The following is a 17215-nucleotide window of genomic DNA, read 5'->3' as shown; positions in this document are numbered from 1 at the left end:
CTCGGCTCACTGCAACCTCCGCCTCCTGGGTTCAAGTGATTCTTCTGCTTCAGCCTCCCAAGTAGCTGGGATTACAGGCATGCACCACCACGCCCGGCTAATTTTTGTATTTTTAGTAGAGATGGGGTTTCACCATGTTGGTCATGCTGGTCTTGAACTCCTGACCTCGTGATCTGCCCACCTCGGCCTCCCAAAGTGCTGGGATTACTGGCGTGAGCCACTGCGCCCAGCCTTCTTAAGGGTGATTAATACTTAGTATCTGCTCTAGGACCTTGCTATTTAGAGTGATCCTCAGACAAGTATCCTCGCCTTCACCTGGGAGCTTGCTAGAAATGAAGACTCTTGGTTCCTACACATAGCAGCTCAATCAGTATCTATATGTCCACACTATTTCCATGTGCTTTGAAGAACATTAGATTTGATAAGCATTAGTCTAGGGCTTAGCATGGTGCCTGTGCTAGTAGGTGTATAATAAACACTGATTGAATTGTACGATATATTAATATGTTTCCTTAAGAGTGCATAACAGAACACTGAATTTCTCTCCAATTACAATCACGATCATCTTCCTCATTCTCCTCACTGTTTCAAAATGCTAGTCTTAGCTGGGCATTGGGGTATGCGCGTGTAGTCCCAGATCCTCAGGAGGCTAAGGTGGGAGGATCACTAAGCCCAGTAGGTCAAGGCTGAAGTGAGCTGTATTTGCACCATCGCACTGGGTGGCAGAGCGAGACTCTGTCCATAAAATTAACTAAACTAAAAATTATAGTCTCCTGTTTGGTTTAGCATTAACTACTTTATAGTGTAATTTGGAAAGATGTCCTCCTCTGCTAAGGGAGTACAGAGCAGTATCCATGGCAGAACTTGGGAATTCTGCATGGAAAGATGGCATCTGAAAAGCACTGGACCGAACGGAACCCACTTCTCCATCTCCAATCTTTAAAGTTTATTCTAACTACAAGGAGCACTTGGTCCATGATAGGAAGCTGTTCTTTCAGATGCCACAAGTATCTCTATTCTCCAGAAATATCTTTTTCACACCATTTGCCAATTTTCCAAAAGAAACACACAAAAAAACAAGTAGTTCTCTAATTTTACCTGGATTTAAAAAGAGAAGCCTCTCTTTATAATAAGACATTAATAACTTGTGAATAACTGATAATACTGTATCATATAATTTCCCAAATTTACATCAAGGAGTTTCAGTTTATTGAGAAAAGCCAAGAAAAAAAGACAAAGCCAAGAAAAAAAAATTCCGGGGCTAGGTCAATCAGAGAAACTTTGCCTCTTCTCGATTCCTTTGGTGACATATAGTCAGTGATACAATGGTAAATGTTTAATGACTGGATATCTGGGAGAAACACCTGGACTTCTAAGGTCTTCCAATTTATATGGTATAAGTAGTCCCTTTATGGCTGATTTCAAGGTGCCAATATTGTGTCCGGAATTGGTGGGTTCTTGGTCTCACTGATTTCAAGAATGAAGCTGCGGACCCTCGCGGTGAGCGTTACAGCTCTTAAGGTGGCGCGTCTGGGGTCTGCCCCTTCTGATGTTCAGATGTGTTTGGAGTTTCTTCCTTCTGGTGGGTTTGTGGTCTCGCTGGGCTCAGGAATGAAGCTGCAGATCTTCACGGTGAGTGTTACAGCTCATAAAAGCCACGTGGACCCAAAGAGTCAGCAGTAGCAAGATTTATTGCAAAGAGCGAAAGAACAAAGCTTCCACACTGTGGAAGGGGACCGGAGCGGGTTGCCACTGCTGGCTGGGGCAGCCTGCTTTTATTCTCTTATCTGGCCCCACCCACATCCTGCTGATTGGTAGAGCCCAGCGGCCTGTTTTGACAGGGCCGTGATTGGTGCGTTTACAATCCCTGAGCTAGATACAAAAGTTCTCCACATCCCCATCAGATTAGTTAGATACAGAGTTTCCACACACAGGTTCTCCAAGGCCTCACCAGAGCAGCTAGATAGAATGTCTATTGGTGCACTCACAAACCTTGAGCTAAACACAGGGTGCTGATTGGTGGGTTTACAAACCTTGAGCTAGATACAGAGTGCCGATTGGTGTTTTTACAATCCCTGAGCTAGACATAAAGGTTCTCCAAGGCCCCACCAGAGCAGCTAGATACAGAGTGTCGATTGGTGCACTCATAAACCTTGAGCTAAACACAGGGTGCTGATTGGTGTGTTTACAAACCTTGAGCCAGATACAGAGTGCTGATTGGTGTATTTACAATCCCTGAGCTAGACATAAAGACTCTCTATGTCCCCACCAGACTCAGGAGCCCAACTGGCTTCACCTAGTGGATCCCGCACCGGGGCTGCAGGTGGAGCTGCCTGCCAGTCCGGCGCCGTGCGCTCGTACTCCTCAGCCCTTGGGTGGTCGATGGGACTGGGCGCCGTGGAGCAGGGGGTGGTGCTCGTCGGGGATGCTCGGGCAGCACAGGAGCCCATGGAGTGGATGGGAGGCTCAGGCATGGCGGGCTGCAGGTCCCGAGCCCTGCACCGCGGGAAGGCAGCTAAGGCCCGGCGAGAAATCGAGCACAGCGCCGGTGGGCCGGCACTGCTAGGGGACCCAGTACACCCTCTGTAGCCGCTGGCCCGGGTGCCAAGTCCCTCACTGCCCGGGGCTGGCAGGGCCGGCCGGCTGCTCCGAGTGCAGGCCCGCCAAGCCCATGCCCACCCGGAACTCCAGCTGGCCCGCTGTCACCTCTCAATATGACGCCACTAAACATGGAGTTGATAACAGGTGTGCAGTAGCTCAACATTATATAGTATTTCTACCATACAGATACAGTAGTAGACAGAGCTTGATGAATATAGAACAAATTTGCGTCAGACAATAGCTTTTTGTTTTTAGATAGTTTCTTTAAGGGTGAAAACATTTAACCAGGCTCTCTTGAAGCCCTGCTGCCTGGGGGAAGTCATTTGATTTTTGCTAGTCTGTATGCATTGTTTATGTACAGACTTTATGGTTTTGTTCTCAAAGGCATCTCCTCCTACCCCGAGCCTCACACTGCTGGGGTTTCGTTTGTTTTAAATCTTGGTTGGAGGGGGCACTCTCTCCAGAAAGTAAAAGACAACGGATCTGGCTCCAGTCCAGGACGGAAAGCATAACGCTTGATTTCTGGATGGGGTTTGCACAAGGACAGCACGTGAGTTCTGCTCTCCGTGGGACTCAGACCGGATAGGCCGTGAAAATCTCTAAGGTGTCAGTCCACGCAACCTAACCTGGCAAAGGGAATGCTTTGCAAACTCAGGCCCCAGAACAGAACTCGGCCTACCAGATCCAGGGAGCCAAAGCACGCAGGCGCAGACAGAGTAGCGGTGAGCAGAAGGCAGGCGGGACGGGCGCGCGCACTCGGCGGCCAGGCGCGGCGGGAGCGCGCCCTAGGGGGCGGGCACTGAAGCTGCGGCTTGCGGTTCAGCGGGTTCTAGGGCGCCGGGCGCTCGGGCCTCGGCCATGGCTCACAGGCCGAAAAGGACTTTTCGGCAGCGCGCGGCTGATTCCAGCGACAGCGATGGCGCCGAGGAGTCGCCTGCTGAGCCTGGGGCGCCGAGGGAACTTCCGGTCCCGGGTTCTGCGGAGGAAGAGCCGCCCTCTGGAGGAGGCCGCGCGCAGGTGGCGGGACTGCCCCACCGGGTTCGGGGCCCTCGTGGCCGGGGCCGGGTCTGGGCGAGCTCCCGGCGTGCCACCAAAGCGGCTCCCCGCGCGGACGAAGGCTCAGGTGTCCAGGGAGACGCGGGGAAGCGGGGAGGTGACGGCACAGGGCGGGAAGGGGCCGCGGGGTCTCTGGATCCTTCTCTGGGGGTTCTATAACTTGCTGCCGACCACAAGCCATGCTGAGTCTTATCCAGAAAGACTTATCCAGAAGGTAGTGAGCGAGAAAATAGCTCGAGCACTTGCCCGCTATCTGCATCTGCCTTTTGGACTCCTTGGGGGAAATAAAACAATCGTGTACAGTTGGGAGGCTCTTCGTTTTCACCATCAGTTGACTCCATCAGTTATAACTAACACAGTTATCAAAGTTTATGAAGAACCTAAACTGTCACAACAAAGTTCAATAATTTATAATACTATTAAGTGGGCAGAAGTTATATGTACCTTTTAGACACTTGACCAACTTATCTTTCTTGAAAACATTTAGCCAGAGTAGTACAGGAATCTAGGTTTTGGGACATTCCCCTTTGTTTATTTTCTTTTTTCACCAGTTATTTGCAAAAACTAATAGTAATATATACAACACAAAGAAGCATGATAGAGATTCATGACACTGTAGATGGTACCAGTAATGGTGTTAGATATAGTGTCGTCATTTTGAAGTACCTTTGAGTTCTTAAATACAGGTGTAAGGCAGCATAAAGTTGTTTAAATAAAATGTGCTGCTCTGAGTTGGAATTGTAGCTTAATGAGGAATACGGTTTTTGGTTAGTCTTGAGAGCTAAAATCTTCCTATTATTTTTTATTGTCATTAAAGTGATTTTTATTAATTTATTGAGAAGTAAAAAATGTATATACTTATAGTGTACAACATGATGTTTGAAATGTGTCTACAGTGACTAAATGGAGCTAATTAACATTTGCTTTACCTTAGGTACTTACTTTTTTTTGTGGTGAGAACACTTACTATCTACTCTTACTAATTTTCAAGTATGCAATGCATTGTTATTAATTTTAGTCACCGTGTTGTAGAATAGAATTCCTCTTGTCTAATTAAAATGTGTGCCCTTTGACCAGTATCTTCCCAACTACCCTCAACCTCACTCAGTCCCTTCTAACCACTACTCGACTCTCTGCTTCTGTGATTTCTGATTTCCACTTTTTTAGATTACATATGTGAGATCATGTGGTGTTTGTCTCTCTGTGCCTGTCTTATTTCATGTAACATAATGTCCTCCAGGTTTATGATCTTCGTGATTTCTTGGTCTTTCTTGTGACCTTCTATTTGTCTAAAGTTTTCATGACCTTTTATATTTGTTTTCTGGTTAAACTTTGTAGATGAAAGTTGAAGTCAGGAGTTCCTTTTCTCTTGCCTTCTAGAATAGTGGTTCTCAAACTCTTTGGGAATTGGACCTCTTTTAGACTCTTAGAAATGATTAAGGATTCCAAAGAGCTTTTGTTTCAGTAGGTTATACCTATCAATATTTATCACACTAAAAATAAAATTTATTAATTCACTTACAAAAAATCTATTACATGTAAGGATAAGTAAGATTTTTGTGAAAAGTATTACCCCAAAAAAGGAAGAGTAGCATTGTTTTCAATTTACAGATCTCTTTAATGTCTGGCAAAATATTAATAGAAGACAGATGAATTGTCATAGGTGTTTCTGCTTTTAATCTCTTGTGCTATTTTGTTTTGGTTGAAGTATTTGAAGAAAATACAGCCTCTGACAGATACATGATTAAGACGAGTACTTAATAGCATTTTTAGATCATTGAGGGTGTTGTGCTTTAATATAACACAGCTCAACAAGTAATAAACTAACCCTTCTTAAAAGTTAGTTGCGGGCCGGGCACAGTGGCTCACACCTGTAATCCCAGCACTTTAGGAGGCCGAGGCAGGTGTATCAAGAGATCAGGAGTTCGAGCCCAGCCTGGCCAACATGGTGAAACCCCATCTCTACTAAAAATACAAAAATTAGCCAGGCATGGTGGTGGGTGCCTGTAATCCCAGCTACTCAGGAGGCTGAGGCAGAGAATCACTTGAACCCGGGAGGCAGAGGTTGCAGTGAGCTGAGATTGTGCCACTACACTCTAGCCTGGGTGACAGAGTGAGACTTTATCTCAAAAAAAAAAAAAAAAAAAAAAAAAAAAGTTGCCAAATGGATTCTTAAACCATATGATTAAATTTGGGGTGCTCTTACCTTAAAACTCTGTTCTGTTTTGTACTTTGGATCTTTTACTCATGAACGATTGGTAACATCTTGCATTATTTGGAAGGTATTCATTAGCTGAGTTTGCAGATCTTGCAAATGTTGGAGCATTTTATTGTACAATACCAAAAAAATCATAGTATTACCACTGATTAATCAGTCTGTAAGTACTGGAAAGCTGTTAGGTTCACAGTAGAGAATATAAGTTTTCCAAAATCTCAATTTTCACTTGAAATCTCTCATTTTATTGATAGGCACAACCGGGCTCATGTTTTGAGAAAATGTTTGTCAGATAGCCATGTCTGAATAATCGGTTTGTTAGTCATTCTTTCAAGTAAAATGGTGATGCTTCTTAAAAACAACGTCTAGTTCAGCTTGCAACTCAGTCACACAAATGCTTTTCCTTAAGGCAGCCATTGCATTTCAAGATGCAGCAAAAGTGCCTTATGAATACTTTGATTTTGTCACAAAGAATATTAAACATGTGTACTCAAGGGTCAAAATTTAATAAAATAACAATTTTTTAATTAGTTCATGAAGAGCAACTGGCTTTTTTCTGCCATGTGAGGTAAGGAAAAATACCATAACTGCTACTACAAATTGATTCATTCATGCCAAGAGCCTAGCAGTTTTACCCATCACTGCCTTTACTTCATTATATAAATATCAACATGGTAAAAAGAACAAATAACATGTTATTATTGTGATGAAAGTAGTTTTAATTTCACAGACTCTCTGAAAGAGTCTCAAGGACCTCCAGGGATTGATAAACCATGCTTTAAGACCCACTGCTTTGGTGTTAATCCACTTTGGAAACAGGTATGGGTTGTCATAAATGACAATATCTAAGAAAGATGTGAGCTGCAGCTATATTTTTTTTAGTGTTTTAAATTTTGATTTTACTCCAGCCTTTTTTGAACTGTATGTAGGTCTTCTAACTAAGGTAGAAAATTAAAATTAATGAGTAGTATGTAATCTTATGTTTTAAGGTTACTCATAAAGATTGCAAATTTATTGTGGATTAAGAAATCCTTTCTTGTCAATAATGTCAAGAATTCCTTTATTTTGTTCATTCAATTTTCACAACACCCCTGTGGGTTTTATCTTGGTGTTATCTTTGTTTAACAGATTAATTGAATTTAACAGACTATTTACCTTCCCAAATCATGCATTGAAAAGATGGACCCATGGTTTAATATTGACCAAAGTGCTCGTTACAATATTTCTCGCCACCAGCCGTTGAAATATGGCATACTATAAAGAGAGCCTAAGTTCTGAAGTTGCCTGGGATTAGGTTGACAGCCCTGCTTCTCCACTGCCCGAGTTGGTGTTCTTTATCCTCTCAATCCTTAGTGAACTCATCAGAAATTGCATTTACTTTATAGAATTACAGGTATTAAATAAGTCATGTAAAACAGGTTTCAGTGTGCCTAGTACATAGTATACATTAAATATTTTTCTTTTCTACTTATTCACAATCATTACTATTCTAAATATTACTTCATTTTTTGTCGCTTTTTTTTTCTCTAATGCCTCCTTCCCTTTTCTCATTGCATACTTTTGGAAATATATTATTAGATGCCTAGATAATACAAATAGGGTCTTTGTACACTTAGTAGATCATTCAGTTGCTTAAGAAAGAAAGTTGGAGGAAGATCAATATGTCTACTTTAATATATGGACTAGGATTAAAACACCGTATTATACATATGCCATGTGTTGTTCAGAATTTCAATTAATAATTCCATTATTTTGACTCTTTTTTGTTGTATTTTTAAAATGTCCTGTTAGAATCCAGAACCCTTGATGTGTCCACAGATGAAGAGGATAAAATACATCACTCCTCAGAAAGTAAGGATGATCAGGGTTTGTCTTCTGACAGTTCTAGCTCTCTTGGAGAAAAAGAACTTTCATCAACAGGTTAGTAATTTGTATGATTTTGGTTAAGAATTTTATTTTTAATATAGTGTTTTTGATATAGTTATTAATGACATAACAAACTCTAGTGACATGGGGCAAGTAGGTCATTAATGATGATTGTCAGAGTGCCAAAATTGCTCATTTTTATTACATTTTAACATGCACAGGTCAGACAGCTTATAAGTAGCAGGGCTAGGATTCAAACCCAGTTTGTTCTGGAGCCTGTATTCTTCTTAATCACTGTGCTATACTGGGTGATTGACATTGATACTTGAAGGATGGTAAGAATTTGTCAGGGAGGATGTTTCAGGTATAGGATGTAGCATATCTGAAACTCTAGGGAAGGTATGTAATATGTGCAGGAAGCTAAAAATAGCTCTGGCTGAAAGTATTTGGTTGCGAGTTTAAGGAAAAGAAAACAGGAAGGACAAGTTGGAGTCAGATTATACAGGGCTTAGGGAACCACTGAAAATTTTATACAGATGACATGAATGTTTTTGTGTCTTAGAAAGATCAGTCTAGTTCAGGGGTTGGCAAATCTGGCCCACCACCTGTTTTTGTAAACAAAGTTTTATTAAAACACAATCACAGTCTTTCAGTTACTTAATATTTGTGGGTGCTTTTGCACTGCAGCAGCAGAGTTGAGAAGTTGCCACAAAGACCCTATGGCCCGCAAAGTGAAAAATATTTATCTGGCGTCTTACAGAGGTTTATAACTTGTTTTGTGCCGTGGACTCCTTTTTCAGTCTAGTGAAGCCTAAGATCCCTTCTGAGAAAATAAAGTAAAATACATAGCTTTGTAGAGGAAACAAATTATATTGAAATAAAATTATTAAAATATATTTTATGACGCTTGTAATATAGTAATAAGTGCTTCTGTGCTTCTTTTTTTTTTTTTTTTTTTTTGAGATGGAGTCTCACTCTGTCGCCCAGGCTGGAGTGCAGTGGCGCAATCTGGGTTCACTGCAAGCTCCGCCTCCCAGGTTCACGTCATTCTCCTGCCTTAGCCTCTTGAGTAGCTAGGACTATAGGCCACCACGCCTGGCTAATTTTTTGTATTTTTAGTAGAGATGGGGTTTCACCGTGTTAGCCAAGATGGTCTCGATCTCCTGACCTCTTGATCTGCCCACCTCGGACTCTCAAAGTGCTGGGATTACAGACGTGAGCCACCACGCCCGGCCATAAGTGCTTCTTTATTAGCCTATTAAATAACAACAACCAGTAGCTCTGTAACCTTGTAATTTTGTTTCTTCTCCATGTCCACAAGGTACAGAAATACTAAGCGATTAAGCCAATATTAAGAACTGAAATCTAGTAAACAGTTGAAGCCTTGTCTGGATTCTAGATACAGTGCTATTCAGTAAAATTTTCTGTGGTTTGGAAAAATTTTCTATCTTCACTGTCCATATGGTAGCCACTAGTCACAAGTGGCTGTTGAGCTCTTGAAATGTGGCTATAGCGAGACTGAGAAATTGAATTTTTAGTTATATTTGAATACTCACATAGGGCTAGTGGCTACTGTACCAAACAATGCTACTATAAAAGATGGCGGATTAGACTAGGTGCCATGGCTCATGTCTGCAGTTTGGGAGGCCGAGGTGGATGGATCACCTGAGGTCAGGAGTTTGAGACCAACCTGGCCAAAATGGTGAAACCCTGGCTTTACTAAAAATGTAAAAATTAGCCAGGCATGGTGGCATGCACCTGTAATTCAGGGGACTGAGGCAAAAGAATTGCTTGAACCTGGGAGGCAGAGGTTGCAGTGAGCAGAGATCATGCCAGTGCACTCCAGCCTGGGCAACAGAGCAAGACTCCATCTCAAAACCAAACAAACAAAAAAAGATGGTGGATTAAACAGGATAAGGCAGTGGTTGTAAAGTGTTGGCAGCACTGCCCCCACCTTAGGAGAGAGGGCAGCGTTTGAAAATGTGTGGGATTATTTAAATGATTATAGTAGTTGAGTTGTTGCTGGCACATAGTGCCCTAGAGGCAAGGGATGATAAATGTCTTAACAGGAGTGCAGAACAGTTCAGCGCAGTGAATTGCCCATCCCCTATGCACATTGAGAAACGCTGATTAAAAATTGAAAACTTGTCCTGTGAGGAACACCTGAAAGTTCGAAGGACTTATTGGCTGGCGAAGAAAAGATGGAGGAATGTGTTAATTTTAAGGGCTGGCATGTGGAAGAAGAGCATTTATTTGTGTTCCGATGAATAACTGCCTCAAAATAGTCCCTCTAGCAGAGATTACTTGTTACTAATAGAAGATGATAATTTACCTCTCAGCCCTAGATGATTGCATATCAGATAGGATGATATATGTGAAGAATTATTCATAAGTTATAAATTTGTAAAAACATGATGTATTTATTATTGAACAATATGCTGACATTATTGATTCCTCCTATGTCTGCCCAGCATCTGCTGTGTGAGAACCCTTGAACGAGGTATTGAATATGCAGAAACAGGACAAACGCAATACTCTTCTCTTCCTTGGTTTTTTACTTCTTTATTTTTACTTGAGCAGTTACCTTTATGTAGCACTAATATCTTACTAGTGTGTCCCATTGCTTGTGACTTACTAATTAAACCCTACCGAGTCACCTGCAAGAAAATCACTTCCAAAATAAGTATTTCTGTGTCCACATTCATACACTTGAGTATTTGAACCTAAATGTCTTATCTTAATCCTGCCTGCACATTAAAATCCTCTAGGGAGCTATAAAAACATACTTCTGCTCAGCTCTGCCTCAGATCAACATCTGAATCACTGGTATAGAGGCCTGGGTATGTCAAGCTTCTCAGGTGACTCTGATGTGTAGCCAGGGTCGAGAATTGCTACTATAACCTGCTGTGATGGTTTTGAATCTTAAATGCTTTGGGAGGAGGAAGAGACACCTGACCTTCATCATGTCCCTGACAGTAGTCTATAAATAATTACTAATCTATAAAAAAGCAAATCACTTCATTTTCTATTACTTGTTCTTGATGAATATTTATTGACTTCTAGTGATTTCTTTATTGCTTCATGATTCACTCAAGGACTTTTAATTTTCCCTAGGGCTGATGTCAAGCATATTGGTCTGTGATTTCTAAAATCTTTCTCTTTTTTTGTTTGTTTCAAACATGGGAGCTTTTGTGCATCTCCAAGTACATGGCATTTTTCTGTTTATTTCTCAAAGAATTTGGGTCAACTTGTGGGAAAGTTTAGAAAATTTCACTTCAGCCTCAGTAGCTTGACATCTTTTTAGTAGTTTGAAGTGCTTAAAATGGTGAAAATTTCTCTCGCTGTTTCTTTAATGTAGTATTTTTCTTAAGAAACCGTTTTTTCCAGAATGAAGATAAATTTCAGCTTAGATCATGCATGAAGAAACTCGTTTTAAATTGGAAGAGTTTATGCTAATGATATTTATGCTGTACAAAATAAAGAAAAAAAATAAGACTCTCTTAAGAGTTGTTGTCATTTAAAATTTTTCACCTGGTAAATGAGCCTGATTATTTTCTTTACACTTCTTAATGTCTCATGTTTATTCACGTGGGGCTCACTACAGAACCGCAGAGGCTAATTTGGCTTTGCTCTGTTACTGTTTGTAGTATGTTTGTGATTTCTTGTAAGTGTGGGTAGGAGGGAAGGAGGAAGGAGGACATCATAGTGTAGTATCTCTCTTACTTGGTAAGTCAGGCTGGTCTGTCATTGATCCTTCTAACTTCTGTAGCTCTCACTGATTGGGGAACACCACACTCAGCCCTCTCCACATCCCTGCGCTGACAATCTCAGAGCTTCCAGAAATGAGAAATAGCGACCCCTCAACAAAGTGAGCAGTACCTGATGAGTAAGAGAGTTAAAAGATAAAATGAAGCAGTTTCAGTATATTTTCTGATACTTCTAGATTTGTTTGATTTTTCTAAGTTGTATTTAATCTCTATTAAGTTTTCTTCCTTTGCTGATACAGATTTTGAGCCATTTATTAAAGTCACATTCATATATCAAAATAGCAAATAATTTAGGAAAATGGTGCTTTTTTCTTTTTCTTAAATGTGAGGAATATTTACTTACATTGGTCTTTGGTTTTTAGTGTCCTCGTCTTTGTTTCCTTCAGTTAAGATCCCAGATGCAGCTTTTATTCAGGCAGCCCGCAGAAAACGTGAATTGGCCAGGGCCCAAGATGACTATATTTCTTTGGATGTACAACATACCTCCTCCATCTCTGGTATGAAGAGAGAGAGCGAAGATGACCCTGAGAGTGAGCCTGATGACCATGAAAAGAGAATACCATTTACTCTAAGACCTCAAACACTTAGACAAAGGATGGCTGAGGAATCAAGTATGGATTTACCAATATATGAAGATTAGGATATTTTTTATTAGAATATAATATGAGAGAATCTCCATAAAAAATGTAATATGCTGGCTCACATTTTATAGTGTTGATAATGGTTTTTAACATCGATTTGGTCCATGATATTGTGACCTCTAAAAGATGTATCTGTATCAAAATGTTATTATCAAGGAGTATGTGTAATAATGTTTATTAATGCCTGACCTCCCACCTTGATGTTTTTGGACAGGTTAAAAAAAATGTGCAGTATCTTACTTTCAAAGCATTGAAAACGATCGTTTTTACCTGTATAAATATATTTTTTTTAACATGGAAGCATCTATAGAGATTTTAGATGTCATGTATTAAAATCTTCCCTGCTGTAATAAAAAATTTCCTCTACCAATAATACTAAGCCTTAAAGGACTGTTTTCATATTTCTCATTTATGATATATGCATTTGACCAAGGTTTTGGTAACTTTAAATAATATTTTTTTCAGAAAAGGACTTAGTTCCTTACAATTTATTTTTAAGTGTTTGGATTCTCAGGTAGTAATTGAGAGATCTTTGATAAGAAAAACCAAACATTTCATTCTTTCTCAGTTTTTTACAATATAGGGCTATAGTGTTTTGAGTGGGACAGTTTAGTGATAGGAGTGCAGGTTATGGAGTCAGATCCCAGGATCCAGCTTCCAGCTTCAACATAGTCCTAAGACAGTTACTTAACCTCCCAATATTTGCATTTCCTCATTTGTGAAATGAGGGCAGTAATAGTGCCTTCTTCCCAGAATTATTATGAAGAATAAATAACACGTCAAGTGGTGCTAAGCCTTTGTATAATCTCAAAAAATGTTGGCTTGCTGCAATTAAAATGGAAAAATACTAAACGTTTACATGTGAGCTTTTTTTCCGCTAGTAAGCAGAAATGAAGAAACAAGTGAAGAAAGTCAGGAAGATGAAAAGCAAGATACTTGGGAACAACAGCAAATGAGGAAAGCAGTTAAAATCATAGAGGTAATCATTTTTTATCCCATGTGTATTAGATTCCTGTGGCTGCTATAACAAATTACCACAAACTTGGTGACTCAAAAGAACACACATTTATTCTCTCACAGCGTGGAGGCCAAAATCTGAAGTCAAGGTATTGGCAGCACCTTGCTTCTTCCAAAGGCCCTGGGGGGTTGTGGGGAGCGGTAATTCTTCCTTGCCTTTTGCAACTTCTGGTCATTCCAGGTGTTTCTTGGCTTGTGACTACATAACTCCTCTCTCTGCCTCTGTCTTCACGTGGCTTTTTCCATGTCTCTACTGTGTGTTTTTCTCGTAAGGATACTTGTCATTGGGTTTAGGGCCTACTCAGATAATCCAAGATCCTTCACTTAATTACAACCACAAAGACTCTTTTTCCAAATAAGGTCATGTTTGCACTTTCCAGGGATTATGTCATGGATGTATCTTTTGGGAGGCCTCCATTCAACCCACTACACTGTGCATATTATCTTATTTTCCACTAGATTATAAATACCTTCCACTTGAGGGTACTATTTTTTTAATCTTTAATTTTATAGTAATTGACAGTTTATATTGTACAGGTGCTTAAAAGTAAAGTTTAGCCCTCAAGCTTTACTTTTAAACGCCTGTTCTGTATAATACAAATATATCCAATTTTCTCTTTGGAGACTGTTTTTTTCACTTCACAATACAACAGAGACATCTCACCGCAATGGTATATCTACTTCGACTACACCTTAATGATTTCATAGCAATCTAGTGAATAGATAATATATATCATTTATATATTAAATCTCATTATGTGATTTCTCATATAATTTTTTATTGTAGTGAACCCTATGGTAAATATTATACACAAATATGTTATACCTATATTATGATATGTAACTGTTACATTTCTGCATACACAAATAATAGTTTTGTGTTTTATTTAATTTTTTAAAAGATGTAAACAAAGTAAATATCCAACAATAGGGGTCTTGGTACAATACAGTAAGGTGGGATGAAGTGCTAAAAATGGTATCAGAAACCAAAGCTCGGGAGGCTGAGTCAGGTGGATCACTTGAGTACAAAGAAGACTAGCCTGGGCAACATAGCCAAACCCTGCCGCTACAAAAAATACAAAAATTAGCCAGTCATGGTGGCACACACCTGTAGTCCTAGCTGCTTGGGGGGCTGAAGTGGGAGGATTGCTTGAGCCCAGGAGGTCAAGGCTGCAGTGAGCCAAGATCACGCCACTGCGCTTCAGCGTGGGTGACAGAGTGAGACCCTGTCTCATTTAAGAAAAAAAAAAAAAAACAACGTTAAAGCCCAGATTTGGCCAGGCATAGTGGCTCACACCTGTTACTCCAGCACTTCGGAAGGCCAAGGTGGAAGGATCACTTCAGCCCAGTAGTTTGAGACCAGCCTGAACAACACAGTGAGACCTGAACTCTACTAAAAACAAATAAAACTAGCCAGGCATGGTGGCGCATGCCTATAGTCCCAGCCACTTGCGGGGCTGAGCTGGGAGGATCACTTGAGCCCAGGAGTTCTGGGTGCAGTGAGCTATGATCACACCACTGCACTCCAGTCTGGGCAACAGAGTGAGACCCTGTCACTAAAAATAAATAAATGAATGAATGAATGAATGTAAAGTTTAAACAAGTAGTGAGCTTTGAAACATAACAAATGTACTGTACTTGGGGTTAAAAGTCCTAGATTTGGGCTGTGGGTCTGCTGCTAGAATATAAGTTCTGTGAGGTCAAGAATTGCAATCATAGTGTACATCAGAGATTCCCAAACTTTCTCATTCATGGAGATGTTAGTGTCTTGGTAATTTTATCATGATACTTGTAAGCCAAAAGAAGTACCAAACAGTTCTATTTATTAAGTAGTCCAAAGAATTTTATACAATTTATGTCCTAAGAACTAACCATTTGGAAAAAATAATACAGATAAATTGAAGGCAAAACATTTTTATCTTTTTTTAAATAACCAAAATTCCTTACTAATGAGATGTGTGTTCCTGTTAGGCATTGCATGACTTTTCAGACCTTGGAGTCAGATTGGACACTGTCACTCTCATTTCCATACTGATGTTCACACAATACTTGTTTTTATCATAGCATCCTCCCAAAACCCAGCTCCACAAATATGACTTCATCAAAAGGAATGGAACACATTCTTTTTTTTTTTTTTTTTGAGACAGAGTTTCTCTTTGTCGCCTAGGCTGGAGTACAGTGGCATGATCTCGGCTCACTGCAACCTCCACTTCCCAGGTTCAAGCAATTCTCATGCCTCAGCTTCCTGAGTAGCTGGGACTACACGTACATACCACCATGCCTGACTGATTTTTTGTATTTTAGTAGAGATGGGGTTTCATCATGTTGCCTAGGCTGGTCTCAAACTCCTGAGCTCAGGCAGTCTGCCCACCTCAACCTCCCAAAGTGCTAGGATTACAGGTATGAGCCACTGTGTCTGGCCATATGGAACACATTCTAATGTAACTGTGAACTAAGAGCTAGTAGTCCAACAGATGTTGAGTATTACGGTTTTTCCCTAAAAAATTTAAAATGTCTCACTACACCCCTTTAAATTTGCTAGGATGCCTTTGCACACAGTTTAGGAACCACAATATGCATGCAATTTTGAATTCTGATTTCCTTGCTTGACATATTATAAATTATCTTCTCTTGTTTTTATATCGTTATAACAACTGATTTTAATAGCTATATAATATTCACTGGAGTCACTGAATCATAATCTTAACCATTCTTCATTTTGGACATTTTAGGTTATTTGCAATCTGATTTTTTTAATTAACAAATAAGAATCAGTGAATATTTAATTATTTTCCTCCTCTCCTTTCTTTTGTTCAGATGTGTGTTTTTGAACTATTCCTTTGTAATAATTGCCAAGAGTTGTATTACTAATCGAGATGAACATTTTTATGGCACTTAGTATATTTTTCTCTATTGCCATTTAAAGAAAACTTAGCTCAATCTGTAATGTCGCCAATATCATGGGAATATTTTACCATAATCTTGCCCTCTTCAGGTCCAAGTATAGTTGGTGAAAATGGAATCTCACACTTATTTGATTTTCATTTTTATTGCTAATGTGAGTACATTTACTGATTCCTTTATTGAAAATCTACCATTTGCCACTGTGTTACTTTCCTGTGGCTCCTGTAACAAATTACTGCAGACTTGGTGGCTTAAAACAATAGAAGTTTATTCGCTCTGAGGTCTGGAGGCCAGAAGTCCAAAATCATAATGTCAGTAGAGCAACCCCCCTTTCCAGAAACTCTGTAGGAGAATCCATTCCTTGACTCTTCTAGTTTCTGGTGGCTGTTGGCATGCCTTGGCTTGTGGCCACATCTCTCTTTGTTGCATCTTCACATCTGCTTCTTCTCTTGTGTCCCAAAATTCCCTATCTCTTAGGATGGTACATGTAATTGTATTCAGACCCCATCGGGATAATCCAGGATATACACCACATCTCAAAGTCTTAATTACATCTTTTGCCATATAATGAACATGAACATGAATGTGAACATGTTTTCATGGGGTCACCATTAGCCTGCTACGGCCAGTTACAATGATGTACAACCTCTGCAGGAAGGGAGACAACTAAACAAAACAATTATAGTGAAATCCTACAGGTGCTGTGACAGAACTCTGTGCAGGGTCCTGAGGTGGCACAAAGGAGCAAGTGGGTGATCAGTTTTATAGGAGGGAAGGTAAGTGAGGAAGTCTGAGAAAGCATTTATGGAAGTGGTGATATTTGAATGGGTTATTGACTGCAAAATATCAAGAGTGTTTGGAGATTTTGTAGATATGCGTAGAGCTGGATGGGAGGCTTGGTGAGAACTGAAATGACAAAAGATGATGCTTCATGGAAAATATAAAAAGAATAGCTAAGCCAGTGAAATTGGCTAAATATCTGGTCAGTTTTCTTCATGTGTCTTTGTGTAAAATAGAGGTTCTTCAGGATCTTTTGAACATTCCAAGCATGGAGGAGCTGTGATTAGACAGAGGACACTAATGTGAAACATACCATGTTATAAGATATATGTTAGGAGTGCATTTCTTTACAAGGACCAGAAAACCCA

The 17215-nt window shown here is 40.1% G+C and overlaps 1 protein-coding gene and 1 long non-coding RNA gene across 13 annotated transcripts in view, besides 2 other annotated features; one reads left to right on the top strand and one right to left on the bottom strand.

Annotated features, from left to right (window-relative positions):
- LOC105374813 (uncharacterized) overlaps positions 1 to 3540 on the bottom strand; it is a 41322-nt gene extending 37782 nt beyond the window's left edge. The window contains exon 1 of one of the 2 annotated variants that reach the window (XR_007087116.1): positions 3281 to 3540. This is a non-coding gene — a long non-coding RNA (uncharacterized LOC105374813). The remainder of the gene's footprint in view (positions 1 to 3280) is intronic. The other variant, XR_940260.2, reaches the window with a different exon arrangement.
- GCFC2 (GC-rich sequence DNA-binding factor 2) overlaps positions 1193 to 17215 on the top strand; it is a 50418-nt gene continuing 34395 nt past the window's right edge. For 4 of the 11 annotated variants that reach the window (XR_007080682.1, XM_005264520.5, XM_011533075.3 and 1 more), the window contains exons 1-4: positions 3400 to 3724; positions 7664 to 7792; positions 11868 to 12116; positions 13028 to 13125. Coding sequence is in view for 10 of the 11 variants with exons in the window: in XM_005264520.5 (XP_005264577.1) it covers positions 3460 to 3724; positions 7664 to 7792; positions 11868 to 12116; positions 13028 to 13125 (741 nt within the window). In the remaining variant the exon portion in view is untranslated. Of the gene's footprint in view, positions 3324 to 3399; positions 3872 to 7663; positions 7793 to 11867; positions 12520 to 13027; positions 13126 to 17215 lie in introns of those variants that run through there. The other 7 variants (XM_047445615.1, NM_001410845.1, NM_003203.5 and 4 more) reach the window with 7 other exon arrangements.
- Positions 2019 to 2590: an enhancer, noted in NCBI's record as "H3K27ac-H3K4me1 hESC enhancer chr2:75938851-75939422 (GRCh37/hg19 assembly coordinates)". NCBI's record gives its function as "activates a minimal SCP1, AML or CMV promoter by ChIP-STARR-seq in naive H9 embryonic stem cells {active_cell/tissue: H9 hESC(naive)}" and the evidence as "EXISTENCE:reporter gene assay evidence [ECO:0000049][PMID:30033119]".
- Positions 3569 to 3868: a silencer, noted in NCBI's record as "silent region_11683". NCBI's record gives its function as "represses an Ori minimal core promoter by ATAC-STARR-seq in GM12878 lymphoblastoid cells {active_cell/tissue: GM12878}" and the evidence as "EXISTENCE:reporter gene assay evidence [ECO:0000049][PMID:35858748]".

Source organism: Homo sapiens, chromosome 2 (assembly GCF_000001405.40).
Source record: "Homo sapiens chromosome 2, GRCh38.p14 Primary Assembly".
Classification (NCBI taxonomy): Eukaryota; Metazoa; Chordata; class Mammalia; order Primates; family Hominidae; genus Homo; species Homo sapiens.
This window is presented reverse-complemented; position numbering and strand designations above follow the sequence as displayed.